The sequence below is a fragment of the Homo sapiens genome, chromosome 1 (genome assembly GCF_000001405.40).
Source record: "Homo sapiens chromosome 1, GRCh38.p14 Primary Assembly".
In the NCBI taxonomy this organism is placed as follows: Eukaryota; Metazoa; Chordata; class Mammalia; order Primates; family Hominidae; genus Homo; species Homo sapiens.
The window spans coordinates 150,602,302-150,619,562 of NC_000001.11; the positions used below are offsets into that span (position 1 = coordinate 150,602,302).

The 17,261-nt window shown below is 46.0% G+C and overlaps 1 long non-coding RNA gene across 2 annotated transcripts in view, besides 3 other annotated features; it reads left to right on the plus strand.

Moving 5' to 3' along the window:
• Positions 1 to 1,983, plus strand: part of LOC107985203 (uncharacterized) — a 24,455-nt gene extending 22,472 nt beyond the window's left edge. For both annotated transcript variants that reach the window (NR_186818.1, NR_186817.1), the window contains one exon: positions 1,819 to 1,983. This is a non-coding gene — a long non-coding RNA (uncharacterized LOC107985203). The remainder of the gene's footprint in view (positions 1 to 1,818) is intronic.
• Positions 2,329 to 3,167: an enhancer, noted in NCBI's record as "NANOG-H3K27ac-H3K4me1 hESC enhancer chr1:150577106-150577944 (GRCh37/hg19 assembly coordinates)". NCBI's record gives its function as "activates a minimal SCP1, AML or CMV promoter by ChIP-STARR-seq in primed H9 embryonic stem cells {active_cell/tissue: H9 hESC(primed)}" and the evidence as "EXISTENCE:reporter gene assay evidence [ECO:0000049][PMID:30033119]".
• Positions 6,165 to 6,851: an enhancer, noted in NCBI's record as "H3K4me1 hESC enhancer chr1:150580942-150581628 (GRCh37/hg19 assembly coordinates)". NCBI's record gives its function as "activates a minimal SCP1, AML or CMV promoter by ChIP-STARR-seq in primed H9 embryonic stem cells {active_cell/tissue: H9 hESC(primed)}" and the evidence as "EXISTENCE:reporter gene assay evidence [ECO:0000049][PMID:30033119]".
• Positions 9,192 to 9,486: an enhancer, noted in NCBI's record as "tiled region #10549; K562 Activating DNase unmatched - State 5:Enh". NCBI's record gives its function as "activates a minimal TATA promoter and a strong SV40 promoter by Sharpr-MPRA in K562 cells {active_cell/tissue: K562}" and the evidence as "EXISTENCE:reporter gene assay evidence [ECO:0000049][PMID:27701403]".

Consider the following 17,261-nt stretch of genomic DNA (forward strand, 5'->3'; position numbering starts at 1 on the left):
GTAAATACATAGAAAAAGGGCTGGAAGGATATATAATCAATATTAAACAGTGTTTATCTCTGGAAGGAAAGGACCAGGACTTGGAATAATGGCAAGGAAGCCTTGTTTGTAGTTTTTTTTTTTTTTTCATCGTTTTTGAGGAGTCTCACGCTATCGCCCAGGCTGGAGTGCAGTGGTGTCATCTCAGCTCACCGTACCTCCGCCTCTCCGCCTCCTGGGTTTAATCGATTCTCCTGCCTCAGCCTCCTCAGTAGCTAGGATTACAGGTGTCTGCCACCACGGCCAGATAATTTTTTTTTTTTTTTTTTTTTTTTTTAGTAGAGACAGGGTTTCACCATGTTAGCCAGGCTGGTCTCAAACTTCTGACCTCAAGTGATCGGCCGGCCTCGACCTCCCAAACTGCTGGGATTACAGGCATGAGTCACCAAGCCCGGCTTTTTTTTTTTTTTTTTCTTTTTTTAATTTTTTTTTTTTATTATACTCTAAGTTTTAGGGTACATGTGCACATTGTGCAGGTTAGTTACATATGTATACATGTGCCATGCGACCGGCTTTTTTTGTTGTTGTTGTTTTTTGTTTTTGAGTTGGAGTCTTGCTCTGTCATCCAGGCTGAAGTGCAGTAGCATGATCTCGGCTCACTGCAACCTCCACCTCCTGGGTTCAAGCCATTCTCCCGCCTCAGCCTGCCGAGTAGCTGGGACTATAGGAGTACACCATGCCCAGCTAATTTTTTGTATTTTAGTAGAGATGGGGTTTCACCATGTTGCCCAGGCTGGTCTCAAACTCCTAAGCTCAGGCAATCCGCTCACCTTGGCCTCCTAAAGTGCTAGGACTACAGGCGTGAGCCACCATGTCCAACCTGTAGTTTTGTTTTTTTTTTGAATGAAGGTTTTTAATGTTATATGTTGTATAAAATTAATGCATTAATTTATTATTATGAAATCAAAACAACCCTACCTTACCCCGAAAATAACACCTGTAGGTTTTTGTCAGTTGTCAGATGGGCATCTTGCTATGTTGCCCAGGCCGGTTTCAAACTCTTGGAGCTCAAGCTACCTTCTGCCTCAGCCTCTAGAGCAGCTAAGACTACAAGTGTGCACCACCATGTCCAGCTTAGGTGTCAGTTTGATATGAGTCAGTAGCATAAGTAGTAAAGAAAACCTAAGGGGGCCTTGGGCTCTCCTACGGTCCAGGTCTACAAGCAAGCAGGTAATGGTTTAGTTCTATTTGGCTTGGTGAGGCCACATCTGGACCAAAGTTAGACAGGCACACTGACACATTTGAGCTCATCCAGAGAGTAGACAAGGTGATGCCAGGAGTCCACACTATGTCAAGGAGGACTAGCTAAAGGGAGGGAAAATGTTTAGGCTAGTAGATGTAGAAAGAGGTGGTCCTCAAACTCTTGACGTTTTCATGAGGGTGAAGATAGTAGATTTCAAGACACTGGAGTTATTCAAGAGACTAAATATTCACTTTCCAGGGATACTGTGAAAAAGATTCACTGAGGAGGCATTCGTTGGAACTAGATTTTTTTTTTTTTTAAGAGACAGGGTTCTGCTGTGTTACCCAGGCTGGTCTCTAACTCCTAAGCTCAAGAGATCCGCTTGCCTCAGCCTGCCAAAGTGATGGGATTACAGGGTAAGCCACGTGCCTGGCCTGGAACTAGATTATCTTAAAGTTAGTTTCCAACTAACTTTATTTCAATTTATTTCAAGTTTCCTTGAAATAAATTGAGTTTTCAATTTATTTCTGGTTCCTTGGCCTCAACCAGATTTATTGAAATTTAAGTCCCTAAAACTGTCTTTTGTTTTATTATAGAGAGGATATTAACCAGAAGGTTACATACTACAATCTGGAAGGAATAATCTCAATATCATGAGTGCCAATTAAGTGCCTCAGAGAATACAAAGGTGACCATAACTGGAATGCTTAACAAGTACCAACTGAAGAAATGTAATGAAAATTAAAGTTTAATTTGTTTTCCCCTGTCTCTGCACAATTTATTTCAGTGGGAGAGGTTTTCCTCAGATGTGGATCACCTTTAGGTAATAGTCTTTGCAACCACTTTAAGTAGCAAAACATACTCTTGGTCCGAAATATATTAACACATCAATTTTCATCATAGGTAAGAATCTCTCTACCCCACAGCTAGGGTCAACAGAGCCAGCCAGCTCGCCTCTGTGAAAGAGGGGGTAGTTGGCTTCTCTCCTTTTGCTACACTGATATTTCTAGGAATGGGGCAGAATGAAGAGGAAGGGTTATTAGTGGCTTCATGCTGTCTAGGCCTGGCTGATGTTAAGAATTATCTCATGAGCATTTGTATGGCTCCATCAGAGGCTTCCCTGGGGGCGCTTTCCAAAGGCAGTGGCAACTTCCTGAAGTGAGGTGATGTATTCTATTTCTATAGCCACCACTCTCTCATTATCCTTTTGTTTTCCAGTGTTCTTTTCCACATGAAGAGCCCCACTATGCATCCAGGCAGTTCTCTTGAGTAGGATTTAAACTGGCTCCACACATGGTCCACAGGATTCATGTATATCTGACCGTTTATCAGAAGCCAGTGTGGTGACTTCCAGGATGTGACTCTCTACTTTGTTACATCAGGCTCTGTTGTTAGTCAGCTTTTGCCTTGAAATTCCTCTACCGTGAGTCATACACAGTCTAATGATTATCCCTTACCCAAGGACAAATACAAAATGTTTCAGTGGTCTTGAAGCCACTGTCTCTAGGATTGAGAAGATAGAATTACTCCTCACCTCATCTCTTTTTTTTGGGGTGGGGGATGGAGTTTTGCTCCCCCTGCCCAGGCTGGAGTGCAGTGGTGCGATCTCAGCTCACTGCAACCTCCACCTCCCAGGTTCAAGCGATTCTCCTGCCTCAGCCTCCTGAGTAGCTGGGACTACAGGCACCCGTCACCGCGCCTGGCTAATTTTTTTTATTTTTAGTAGAGACGGGGTTTCACCATGTTAGCCAGGCTAGTCTCGAACTCCTAACCTCAGGTGACCTGCCCGCCTCAGCTTCCCAAAGTGCTGGGATTACAGGCGTCAGCCACCTCACCTGGCCCTTCCCCACCTCTTCTCTTTGGGATTGAATAGGGCTCACAGCATGGTAGTAGCTCTCTCCAAAGAAAGCTCTTTTATAAACCCAATCTCCGCTTTTTTGTTGTTGTTTTTTTTTTTTTTTTTGAGACAGGGTCTCACTCTGTGGCCCAGGCTGAAGTGCAGTGGTATGATGATGGCTCATGGCAGCCTCAAACTCCTGGCTCATGTGATCCACCTGCCTCAGCCTCCTGAGTAGTAGCTGGGATTACAGGCATGCACCACCATGCCTGGCTAATTTTTTTTTTTTTTTTTTAGATGTATTACTCTTGCTCTGTCGCCCAGGCTGGAGTATAGTGGTGCGATCTCAGTTCACTGCAACCTCCACCTCCCGAGTTCAAGTGATTCTCCTGCCTCAGCCTCCAAAGTAACTGGGATTATAGGCGCCCACCACCACACCCTGCTAATTTTTGTATTTTTAGTAAAAACGGGGTTTCACCATTTGGCCAGGCTGGTCTTGAACTCCTGATGACCTCAAGTGATCCGCCTGCCTCAGCCTCCCAAAGTGCTGGGATTACAGGCATGAGCCTCTGCCCCTGGCTTTTTAATTTTTTCAAATTTTTTATTTTTTTTTTGAGACGGAGTCTTGCTCTGTCACCAGGCTGGAGTCCAGTGGTGCAATCTCGGTGCTCACTGCAATCTCTACCTCCCAGGTTCAAGTGATTTTCCTGCCTCAGCCTCCCAAGTAGCTGGGACTACAGGCACGTGCCACCATGCCCAGCTAATTTTTTGTATTTTTAGTAGAGACAGGGTTTCACCATGTTGAGCAGGATGGTCTCGATCTCTTGACCTCGTGATCCGCCCACCTTGGCCTCCCAAAGTGCTGGGATTACAGGCTTGAGCCACTGCGCCCGGCCTAATTTTTTAATTTTTTTGTGGAGACAAGGTCTCACCATGTTGCCCAGGTTGGTCTTGAACTAGCCTGAAGTGATCCTCCCACCTCAGCCTCCCAAAGTGCTAGGATTACAAGAGTAAGCCACTGCATCTGGCCTTCTATCTTCACTTTTCATACTCTTGAAATGGGTGAGGGGGTTCAAGAGTTGTGCAACTGGTTCTTGGTAAGTTCCTTTAAAATACTGCATTTACATCTGCTGTCTCCCTTTGGAGTTTCATATCTATTAGATCTTGATACCCCAGCTGAAACATCCAGTTTAAGATTTTGTTAAGTATAAAACATAATCTGCTTTATCAATCCTGCTTTAAATCTTCCCTCATTCCTTATCTGAGGCTATGTGATTTAGTCACACCTCACAAGCCAAGCCCTAGGCCTAGGCCATCAAGTTGGTATGGCATGATCTGGTCATGCTCTCCTTTACTGATAAAGAAAACCAAGCTAAGGCCAAGGGCTCACTATAACAAACCTACTGCCCATGAGAGGGATAAATCAGGAGTCCCTCTTGGCTCCAAACCTAGTTCTCTATACGGATGTATACAGAGCAAAGTGATTTGGTCAAGTAGCCATGGGCTTTGGAGTCTGTCATTTATCAAGTGATCTTAGATGAATTATCTTTTCTCAGCTTCATTACAATTTTGTAAAATAGGGCCGGGCGCCGTGGCTCAACCCTGTGGGCATAAGCCTTTGGGAGGCTGAGGCGGGCAGATCACTTGAGGTCAGGAGTTCGACAGCTTGGCCAACATGGTGAAACTCCATCTCTACTAAAAATACAAAAATAAGCCAGGTGTGGTTGCGGGTGCCCATAATCCCAGCTACTTGGGAGGCTGAGGTAGAATAGAACTGTTTGAACCCGGGAGGTGGAGGTTGCACTGAACCGAGATTGCACTACTGCACTCTAGCCTGGATGATAGACTGAGACTCTGTCTCAAATTAAAAAAAAAAAAAATTATAAAATAGCCTCACCTTTCAATTTGAAATTTATTTATTTATTTTTTGAGACGGAGTTTCCCTTTTGTCGCCTAGCCTAAAGTGCAATGCCACAATCTCAGCTCACTGCAACCTCCTGCCTCCTGGGTTCAAGCAATTCTCCTACCTCAGCCTCCCGAGTAGCTGGGATTACAGGTGTGCGTCACCACCAGCTAATTTTTGTATTTTTAGTAGAGACAGGGTTTTACCATGTTGACCAGGCTGGTCTCAATCTCCTGACCTCAGGTGATCTACCCGCCTTGGCCTCCCAAAGTGCTGGGATTGTGGGCATGAGCCACCATGCCCAGCCTGAAATTTATTTATTTTTTTTAAAGTCAGTCTCTGTAGAGACTGTCAAAAATTGCCAATGCCAACTATATTGTAAGTTACCACAGTGGGATATGTGAAAATTCTTTTTTTTTTTTTTTGAGACATGGTCTCACTCCATCACCCAGGCTGGAGTGCAGTGGCAAGATCACAGTTCACTGCAACCTCGACTTCACGGGCTCAAGTGAGCCTTCCATGGCATGTGCCACCATGTCTGGCTAACTTTTTGTAAAGACGGGGTCTCTCTAAGTTGCCTAAGCTGGTCTCAAAACTCTTAGACTCAAGGGATCTGCCTGCCTTGGCCTCCCAAAGTGCTGGGATAACAGGTGTGAGCCACTGGGCCTGGCCCAACAGAAACCTTTTCTTTTTTTCTTTTGAGACAGAGTCTCAACTCTGGAGTCTCACTCTGTTGCCCAGGCTAGAGTGCAGTGGTGCAATCTTGGCTCACTGCAATCTCCACCTCCCAGGTTCAAGTGATTCTTCTGCCTCAGCCTCCTGAATAGCTGAGATTACAGGCGTGTGCCACCACACCCGGCTAATTTCTGTATTTTTAGTAGATGGGGTTTCGCCATGTTGGCTGTGCCGGTCTCGAACTCCTGACCTCAGGTGATCCACCCGCCTTGGCCTCCCAAAGTATTGGGATTACAGGCGTGAGCCACCGTGCCTGGCTTGAAACTTTTTTTGAGACAGAGTCTCGCTCTGTCGCCCAGGCTGGAGTGCAGTGGCGCGATCTCAGCTCACTGAAAGCTCCGCCTCCTGAGTTCACACCATTCTCCTGCCTCAGCCAAGTAGCTGGGACTAACAGGCGCCTGCCACCACACTCAGCTAATTTTTGTATTTTTGGTAGAGACGGGGGTTTCACCGTGTTAGCCAGGATGGTCTCGATCTCCTGACCTCATGATTGGCCTGTCTCGGCCTCCCAGAGTGCTGGGATTATAGGCGTGAGCCACTGTGCTTGGCCTGAAACGTTTTCAATTAGCAATAATTGTACATTGGACAAACCTCATTGGCTATGATACTGCCACTGCACAAAACTTAAAAAAAATTTTTTTTTTTGAGACGGAGTCTTGCTCTGTCGCCCAGGCTGCAGTGCAGTGGCAAGATCTCGGCTTACTACAAGCTCCGCCTCCGGGGTTCACGCCATTCTCCTGCCTCAGCCTCCAGAGTAGCTGAGACTACAGGCGCCCGACAGCACGCCCGGCTAATTTTTGTCATATTTTTTAGTAGAGACGGGGTTTCACCATGTTAGCCAGGATGGTCTTGATCTCCTGACCTCGTGATCCGCCCACCTCGGCCTCCCAAAGTGCAGGGATTACAGGCGTGAGCCACCGCGCCCAGCCAAAATTTAATTTTTAATTAAACAATTAATATATGAATATTTTCCTTGGAAAAAAGGAAAATATAGATGACACAAAAGTTCCTATGATTACCACTTCCAATCTCACTCCCCTAATTCTTTTCTGGAAGTGACCACAATTCTTTTTTTTTTTTTTTGAGACAGAGTCTTGCTCTGGTGCCAGGCTGGAGTGCAGTGGTGCGATCTCAGCTCACTGAAACCTCCGCCTCTTAGGTTCAAGCGATTCTTGTGCCTCAGCCTCCCGAGTAGCTGGGATTAAGGCACACGCCACCACACCCAGCTAATTTTTGTATTTTTAGTAGAGATGGGGTTTCACCATGTTGGCCAGGATGGTTTCGATCTCCTGACCTCGTGATCCACCGGCCTCAGCTTCCCAAAGTGTTGGGATTACAGGCGTGAGTCAACGTGCCTGGATGTAACAGTTCTCAGTTTAGCAGTTATCCTTCCAGTTCTTTTTCAATTGATCTGTGCTTTTTAACCCATAAAAATAGGATAGATAGTAGTATCTGTCTCACAGGAAAAGAACAGAAGTGAAATGCAAAGTGGGTAATGTTTTCCTTTTTCTCGTTCCTAAGAGCTGAGACCTACTGCAGAAACACAGCTGTACAGTACATTCAAGCTGAAGAAAAGAAAATCTTTTTTATTTCCAAGGGTGGAATTATCTGCCCTTGGTATTATCTAATACCTTGTATTTTAAAATATAAGTTTTTTGTTTTCCAAAAAACTCAACAGACATCACACACAGATTTTACAGTAGGTACAAGCTCTAGCCTGGCACACAACACAGCCAGCGTCTTGGACAGGGGTCTGCCAGAGGAGGGTAGCAAAAGCCAAAAGCCCAGAAAGTATTCTGCTTCCTTTGTCCTCTTCCATTTTAGCCAGGCAAGGAGCATTCTGTGTCTTATATCTTCTTTTCCCTGTGGCGTTCATTTCCAATTGCAGAAAGGAGGTCATATGACCAGATTCTTTCCTTAAACAGCTTTCCAGCTGAGTACAACAAAGACAAAACAAAGCAACCCTGCTCCTCCACAATTCTGCTCTTCCATCACTCTACATGGCAGGAGAAACTCCCACAATAGCTTTTTCCTACTGTCAGAGAGGAAGCATAAACCAAGATTTCCAAAGGCACCACTGGTTGGTTCCCAGGTGCCCTAGAGTAGGATTTTTATTTTATTTTACTTTATTATTTTTTTTTTGAGATGAGGTCTTATTATGTTGCCCAGGCTGGTCTTGAACTCCTGGTCTCAACAAATCCTCCTGCCTCAGCCTCTGAGTAGCTGGGATTATAGGCACTCGCCTCCACACCTGGCTCTAGGATTTTATTTTAGCATAAAACCAAATTCCACTTTGCTAGCCATGATACAAGTTTCTTTTTGAGACGGAGTCTCATTCTGTCGCCCAGGCTGGAGTGCAGTGGCATGATCTCGGCTCACTGCAACCTCTGCCTCCCGGGATCGAGCAATTCTCCTGCCTCAGCCTCCCGAATAGCTGGGATTACAGGCGCCCACCACCACGCTAGACTGATTTTTGTATATTTTAGTATAGACAGGGTTTCACCATGTTGGTCAGGCTGGTCTCGAACTCCTGACCTCAAGTAATTCACCTGCCTCAGCCTCCCAAAGTGCTGGGATTACAGGCGTGAGCCACCCTGCCCGGCCCCTCTTTTTGTATATCTAATTTAATTCTAACAAAAACATATAAGGTTTTTAGTTTAGTTTTTGAGACAGGCTGTTGCCCAGGCTGGAGTGCAGTGGTGTAGATATGGCTCACTGCAGCCTTGACCTCCTGGGCTCAAGGGATCCTCCTGCTTCAGCCTCTGGTACAGCTGGGACCACAGTGCGTGCCACCACACCTGGCTAATTTTTAAGGTTTTTTTGTAGAGATGGGGCCTTACTCTGTAGCCTAGGCTGGTCTCAAACTTCTGGGCTCAAGTGATCCTCCCATCTTGGCCTCCCAAAATGCTGGGATTGTGGGCATAAGGCACCACGCCCAGCCCAGCCCATATAAGGTTTTTTTTGTTTGTTTGTTTGGTTTTTTTGTTTTTTTTTTTTTAAAGACAGAGTTTTGCTCTGTTGCCCAAGCTGGGGTGCAGTGGCACGATCTCAGCTCACTACAACCTCTGCCTCCTGGGTTCAAGCGATTCTCCTGCCTCAGCGTCTCGAGTAGCTGAGATTACAGGTGTGCACCACCACGCCCAGCTAATTTTTGTATTTTTAGTAGAGACAGGTTTTCACCACATTGGCCAGGCTGGTCCTGAACTCCTGACCTCAAGTGATCCACCTGTCTTGGCCTCCCAAAGTGCTGGGATTACATGCTTGAGCCACTGCACCTGGCCCCATATAGAGTTTTTATTGTCATTATTCCCATATTACAGATGAAGGGACTAAGGCTCAAAGGGTAAATAAGTCTGTTCTTAAATAGTGACTTCCTGAGACACAGGAGATGTTTAAGAACAGTACTGGTAGGTGGGAAGTGGCATTTTGGAGCAGGAGTGAGAAGCATGAAAATGTAGCAAGAATAGAAAAGGGTGGGAAAACAGCAAATTAAGAGGAAGAAAAATGCAGGTCCTAGCAAGAATTGCTACTCACCACTGCCAGAGTCTGGGCCATGTTCTAGGTGTGTATTTAAACAAATCTCCATAGCAACCATCTGGTTTCTGTTTTTCTATGACAACACGGGCTTGCATTTCTAAATACAAGCACTGGTGAGGACAAGTGTGGGCTGGGGAAGGGAAGTGGGACCGCTGAGTCAAGGGGAAATTGCGCAAAAAAGGCAAAGGTTCTCTTGGTATGCCCTCATCTATCCCCTCCCAGCACACCCTCAAGGAAGGGGTCTTTCCTTGACTCACAGCAGTCATTGTTAAGAGCTGAGCCTTGTATGCACTTTGTCTTTTGTTTTGGAGACAGAGTCTGGCTCTGTCACCCAGGCTGGAGTGCGGTGGTGTAATCTTTGCTTACTTAAACCTCTTCCTCCGAAGTTCAAGCAATTCTCTTGCCTCAGCCTCCCGAGTAGCTGGGACTACAGGCGCCTGCCACCACTCAGTTAATTTTTAATTTTTTTGTAGAGACAAGGTCTCACTACATCGCCCAGCCTGGTCTCAAACTCCTGGGCTGAAGAATTCCTCGTGCCTCGGCCTCTCAAAATGCTGGCATTACAGGTGTGAGCCACTGTGGCCAGCCCATGATATCTTATTTTTACCAATTATGTAAATTCCTATCTAATTAGGGTATACCCTTGGTGCAAGAGGGGGAAGGGTAGATGCTTTTGCTTCTCATTTTCAACCCAGGTGGCACTTTTGGAGATACTGAGGGTAGAGAGAGGTTGGAGGATCTCATCTGATAAAGGTGTGGTAGCCCCAGAAAGAAAGGTGAGAAAAAGGCAGCTAGGCATGGAGATGCAGGAATAAGAATAGATACTGCCATGAGGACTAAGTGGGCCCAGACCTGAGTTAAAACAGCCCCCCATCCCCGCTTTTTTTTTTTTTTTTTTTGAAATGGAGCCTCTCTCTGTCACGCAGGCTGGAGTGCAGTGGCGCGATCTCGGCTCACTGCAAGCTCCACCTCCCGGGGTTCATGCCATTCTCCTGCCTCAGCCTCCCGAGTAGCTGGGACTACAGACGCATGCCACCATGCCCAGCTAATTTTTGTATTTTTAGTAGAGATGGGGTTTCACTGTGTTAACCAGGATGGTCTCGATCTCCTGACCTCGTGATCCTCCCGCCTCGGCCTCCCAAAGTGCTGGGATTACAACAAGAGCCCCTTTCTTAAGCATAGTGATTCTCAACCAGGCAACCAGGCAACTCCAGGGGGCATTTGGCAATGTCTGGGGACTTTTCTGATTATTCTGACTAAGCAACTAATGGGTAGAGGACAAAGATGCTGTTAAACATCCTGAAATGCACAGGACAGTCCCTGCAACAAAGAATTACTTGGCCCAAAATGTCAGCAGTTCCAAGATTGAAAAACCTGAGTAAAGAGATGCTGGTCCTACAGGAAACGTCTCCTTTGTCCATTGCAGGAGCACCAGTGTGACAGATAAAACCATTTGAGGGGGGCCGGGCATGGTGGCTCACGCCTGTAATCCCAACACTTTGGGAGGCCAAGGTGGGTGGATCACCTGAGATCAGGAGTTCGAGACCAGCCTGGCCAACATGATGAAACCCCATCTCTACTAAAAATACAAAAAATTAGCTGGGTGTGATGGCTACCTGGGAGGCTGCGGCAGGAGAATCGCTTGAATCTAGGAGGTGGAGGTTGCAGTGAGCCGAGATTGCGCCATTGCTCTCCAGCCTGGGAAACAAGAGCAACACTCTGTCTAAAACAAACAAACAAAAAACTATTTGAGGGGGATATACCAGAGATGCCTGCTTGTTCCCCTGGGCCCTGAGTCCCTCTCAGACTTTCAGACCAAGTATTTTTAGTTTACTTCTGACAAAAATAAATTCAAGCCAGAATCCAAATTTGCTGTGAAATCAGCTGGTTCTAGAGAATAGGGTATTTTCCTATACCCTTCTTGGTATAGGCAAAACTGCCCCACAGAGGCTGTGCAATCAGGCAAAGGCATGCTCCTCTTGGCCTTAGTTTCACCATTTGTAAAACGAGTACACTGAACTCAATGATCTCGAATGTCCCTTTAGTTCCAAAACTCTGTACTTTTGGACATTTAAGAAATATCCTGGGCTGTACAGTTTGGGTCTGTAAAAAAGGAAATGACTCAAATGCAATAGAGGAAGCCTAAGGATGACTCAGACTTCCCTAATCATAAACGACACTTCAGACATGGACCTTAACGTCAAACCAGGATTCATGATCACTAAATGACTTTCCTTTTGTACGTGTGAGCAGGTGGCGTTCACCAGGGGTGAGACTTTATTGACAGTAAGTTGCCTCTGCCAAAAAACGCCCTCATATGTCTGCTGATGTTTGAATTTCTCCTATGCAGAGTTTTGTCTCCAGTTAAAAATGTAAATACTGTTGTTTCTTGTTGGAGCTCAGAGGAAAAAAAGATAACTACTCTAGGATATGTATCAATTTGATGCTACTTTATTTTATTTATTGAGACAGGGTCTTGCTCTGTTGCCCAGGCTGGAGTGCAGCAGTGCAATCACAGCTCACTGCAGCCTCAACCTCCTGTGCCCAATCGATGCTCCCACCTCAGCCTGCCATTGCTGGAACTACAGGCACATGACAACACGCCTGGCTATTTTTTTTTAATTTTTCAGACAGGGTCTCCTTACATTGCCCAGGCTGGTCTCAAACTCCTGTACTCAAGTGATCCTCCCCCTTCAGCCTCCCAAAGTGATGGCATTACAGATGTGAGCCACCTCACCCCAGCAAGTTGATTTTTAACAAAAGATAACAGCAAAACCCCAGATAAATTAGCAAACTACCTTCACAGCTCGATGTGAGAACTCTCTTAGTTTTATTTATTTATACACAGAGTCTCATTCTGTTGCCCAGGCTGGAGTGCAGTGGTGCAAACACAGCTCACTGCAGCCTTCACCTTCTGGACTCAGGCTATCCTCCAGCCTCAGCCTCCCACGTAGCTGGGGCCACAGGTGCATGCCATCATGCATGGCTAATTTTTTAATTTTTTTGTAGAGATGGGGGTCTCATTTTGTTGCCCAGGGTGGTCTCGAACTCCTGGGCACAAGCCATCTTCCCCTCCCAAAGTGCTGGGATTACAGGCATGAGCCACCACCTGGCTCCAATCTAAAATTTTATATTCTTGCTACAATGTTTTGAACTTCCAGGTTAATCATTTCTGCTTCTAAATCATCTGCTCTTTGACCTTATAAAGAGTTCTCTTAAAAATAAATAAATAATAGAGAAAGAAACAAAGAATTCTCTTGACCAGAGGTTTTTTTTTTTTTTTTTTTTTTTTTTTTTTTTTTTGAGACAGGGTTTTGCTCGTTGCCCAGGCTGGAGTGCAATGGCGCAATCTTGCCTCACTGCAACCTCTGCCTCCCGGGTTCAAGAGATTCTCCTGCCTCAGCCTCCCTGGTAGCTGGGATTACAGGCGCACGCCACCACACCCAGCTAATTTTTTGTATTTTTAGTAGAGACGGAGTTTCACTATGTTGGCCAGGCTGGTCTCAAACTCCTGACCTGACCTCATGATCCACCCACCCCAGCCTCCCAAAGTGCTAGGATTACAGGTGTGGGCCACCGCGCCTGGCTTGACCAGTTTATCACAACTTCCTTAGCCTATTTTCTTATCTAGCTATAATCAGAGAGATTCTTTAATCTTTCACCAGCACTTTCATCCCCTTGCTTCCTTCTTAGTATACTTTATCTGTCTACAAATCCTGACTCAGGATCTAAACAATAATGTCGTCCCTGCTCTTGTACCCAGGGAGCTAGGTGCTTCTAGAGAAAATAGCACAAAGATATGGATTGGTACCATTACATGTTCATGGTACCAATCTGTTAGAACCTCAACATTGCTTGCTTCCTAACCACCCCTCCCCACCTTTTTTAAGAGATGGGGTTTGGTTATGTTGCCCAGGCTGGAGTGCAGTGGCTAGTCACAAGCACGATAATTGTGCACTGCAGTCTCGTCCTGGGCTCGAGATCTTCCTACCTCACCGTCCCAAGTAGCTGGGACTATAGGCGTGTGCCACCATGCCTGGCTTTTATTTTTTGTACAGATGAGTTCTTACCATGTTGTCCAGGCTGGTCTGGAACTCCTGGACTCAAGCAATCCTCCTGCCTCAGCCTCCCAAACTGTCGGGATTATAGGCGCCTGAGTCATTGGGCTCCGCCCCTCCTCTCTTCTATGTCCTTTTATGGCTATACTTTTTACACTCCCACCTCTCTAACATCCTACTTTACAAGTCTGACTAAAGCTGTCAGACAACGACTCCTATAAATTACTTAGCCCCAGTCAAAAACAATCAGCTGGGAGTTTACTGTTATATTTTCGCCTTGAGTCTCCAGCAGGATGAGGCATATATAGTCCTACTTGAGACCACTTTCTCACTCAGTTGGCTTCCCAAGTAGACTAACCCCACCACCTAGTAGAGTGGCTGGCACACGGTAAGTGCTCAGCAAACGTCTGCAGAAGTAGACCATGTAACTAAACCACATCCACCTGTGCTCATTTCACCTCCTTTCTCTTCAGAACCCTGCTTTTTGGTTATTATCATTCTCTACTGAGCTCCAGCTTTTACTTATTCCTTTCACTCTTTCAATAAATATGCCTGAATTATTCCCATCCTAAAACAACCACAAAACCTCTCCATATTACTTAGTTCTATAAGCCAGATTTCACCTCTACAAATCCACTGAAATTGGTCTCAAAAAGGTTACTAACTGCCAAATCAAATGGATACTCCAGTCCTTTTTCTTTTGTATTTGGTGTTTGAGTTTTTTCTTGAGATGGAGTCTTGCTCTTGTCGCCCAGGCTGGAGTGCAATGGTGCGATCTTGGCTCACTGCAACCTCCACCTCCTGGGTTAAGTGATTCTCCTGTCTCAGCCTCCTGAGTAGCTGGGATTACAGGCACCCGCCACCACGCCCGGTTAATTTTTACTATTTTTGGTAGAGATGGGGTTTCACCATGTTGGCCAGGCTGGTCTTGAATTCCCAACCTCAGGTGATCCCCCCCATCTCGGTCTCCCAAAGTGCTGGGATTACAGGCGTGAGCCACCATGCCCAGCCCTGTCTACTCTTCTTTATACCCATTGTCATTACCTTCCTTGGTTCCTAATCATCTCTCACCTGAAATATTGTAGCAACATAATAAAGTGTCTTACAATTCAACTAGCCCATGATAATGGTTTACTGAGTGGAGTATGGAATTTCCACTTAGGTGTTACTTCACCTGAGTTACTTCAAACTTCACCATTGTTACTTCATTTATTATTTTTTGAGACGGAGTCTCACTCTGTCGCCCAGGCTGGAGTGCAATGGTGCTAACTCGGCCCACTGCAACCTCCGCCTCCCGGATTCAAGGATTCTCCTGTCTCAGCCTCTTGAGTAACTGGGATTACAGGCACCTGCCACTACACCCAGCTTGGCCTTGCCCCTTGGATGCTTACTACAGTTACTGTGAATTATTCCCAGTTTGCAGAATGTAATAACTCTGAATCACTTTACATAGTTCTTTCTACCCAGAAGACCCCTTTCCCGATCTAACCCCTTTACCTGAATAAATTCTTCTACTTCATCAGATCTCAGCTTAGAAGCTATTTTCTGTGACAGGATTTTCCTGTCCTTCCTCCACCTCCTCAAATTGGGTAGGTTCCCCTATTCTGTGCTTCTAGAGCATTTTGTGTTTGTCCCTGTCTTAGCACCAATCCCTTCTAATTCCTTATCTGTCTGTTTTTATTATATCCCTCTGTATACTGTAAACTCCTTGAGGGCAGGAACCATGTTTTATTTTTTTTTTGGAGACAGAGTTTTGCTCTTGTTGCCCAGGCTGGAGTACAGTGACGCAATCTCGGCTCACTGCAACCTCCGCCTCCCGGGTTCAAGCAATTCTCGTGCCTCAGCCTCCCAAGTAGCTGGAATTGCAGGCATACACCACCACATCTGGCTAATTTTGTATTTTTAGTACAGACAGGGTTTCACCACATTGGTCAGGCTGGTCTCAAACTCCTGACATCAGGCCATCCGCCCGCCTTGGCCTCCCAAAGTGCTGAGATTACAGACGCGAGCCATCACGCCCAGCTGGAACCATGTTTTACGCACTTTTGTAGTCCCTGAAGTAAGGCCTTTACAAGCCTTATCTTGCTTAATCATCACAACCACCCTCATGGTAGGTACCATGTCGTTACTATTATGCAAGTAAGTAAATTGAGGCAGAGAGTTAAAGAAACTTGTTCAGAGTTATAAAAAAAAATCAGGATTTTAAAATTTTATTTTTTTCAAGATGAAGTTTCACTCTTATTGCCCAGGCTAAAGTGCTGTAGCTTGATCTCGGCTCACTGAAACCTCCGCCTCCTGGGTTCAAGCGATTCTCCTGCCTTAGCTTGCGGAGTATCTGGGATTACAGGTACCCGCCACCAGGCCTGGCTAATTTTTGTATTTTTAGTAGAGACGGGGGTTTCACCATGTTGGCCAGGCTGGTCTCGAACTTTTTTTTTTTTTTTTTTGAGACGGAGTCTCGCTGTCGCCCAGGCTGGAGTGCAGTGGCGCGATCTCAGCTCATTGCAAGCTTCGCCTCCTGGGTTCAGGCCATTCTCCTGCCTCAGCCTCCCGAGTAGCTGGGACTACAGGCGCCTGCAACCACGCCCGGCTAATTTTTTGTATCTTTAGTAGAGACGGGGTTTCACCGTGTTAGCCAGGATGGTCTCAATCTCCTGACCTCGTAGTGAGGAGCTGAGACTGTAGTGAGCCATGATTACACCACTGCATTCCAGCATTCCAGCCTGGGGGACAGAGACCCTGTATCAAAAAAAAAAAAAAAAAAAAAAAAGGCCAGGTGCGGTGGCTCATGCCTGTAATCCCAGCACTTTGGGAGGTTGAGGCGGGTGGATCACTCGAGGTCAGGAGTTCAAGACCAGCCTGGCCAACATGGCAAAACCCCGTCTCTACTAAAAATACAAAAATTAGCCGGGCATGGTGGTGCATGGCTATAGTCCCAGCTACTTGGTAGGCTGAGGCACGAGAATCGCTTGAACACAAAAGGTGGAGGTTGCAGTGAGCTGAGATCACACCACTGCACTCCAGCTTGGGCAACAGAGCAAGACCTTGCCTCAAAAACAAAACAAAACAAAACAAAAAACAAAAACAAAAAACCACAGCCAGGCGCGGTGGCTCACATCTGTAATCCTAGCACTTTGGGAGGCTGAGGCAGGTGGATCACCTGAGGTCAGGAGTTCAAGACCAGCCAGGGCAACATGGCGAAACCCCGTCTCTACTAAAAGTACAAAAATTAGCCAGGTGTGGTGGCAGTCACCTGTAATCCCAGCTACTCAGGTGGCTGAGGCAGGAGAATAGCTTGAACCCAGGAGGCAGAGGTTGCAGTGAGTTGAGATCTCACTACTGCACTCCAGCCTGGGCGACAAGAGTGAGACTCTGTCTTAAAAAGAAAAAAAAACCAACAGGCCAGGAGCAGTGGCTCAAGCCTGCAATCCCAGCACTTTGGGAGGCTGAGGTGGGTGGATCACTTGAGGTGAGGAGTTCAAGACTGGCCTGGCCAACATGGTGATACACCATCTCTACCAAAAATACAAAAATTAGCAGGGCATGGTGGCACATGCCTGTAATCCCAGCTACTCCGTAGGGTGAGGCAGAATCACTTGAACCCAGAGGTGGAGGTTCCAGTGAGCCAAGATCACACCACTACACTCCAGTGACGAAGTGAGACTCTGTCTCAGAAAAAAAAAAAAAAAAAAGCAACTATTATTAATTAATTACTTGTCCCTATTCCTCTGTATAGCTAGACCACCACTGCTGTAAGTTTAACACTGTAATATGATTTCTTCATGTGTAGGTCACCACTACAATGTAATCTCCTTGAAAGAGGCAGCCACATACAATTTACCTTGTATTTTAGCACAATGCCAGGCATATTGTGGACACTTATTAAGTAACTGCACTGTTTAAATACTACCCACCTTTCAAGGCCCAGTTAAATGTCCATTTCCACCACTTATGTTTACCTAATGAGTC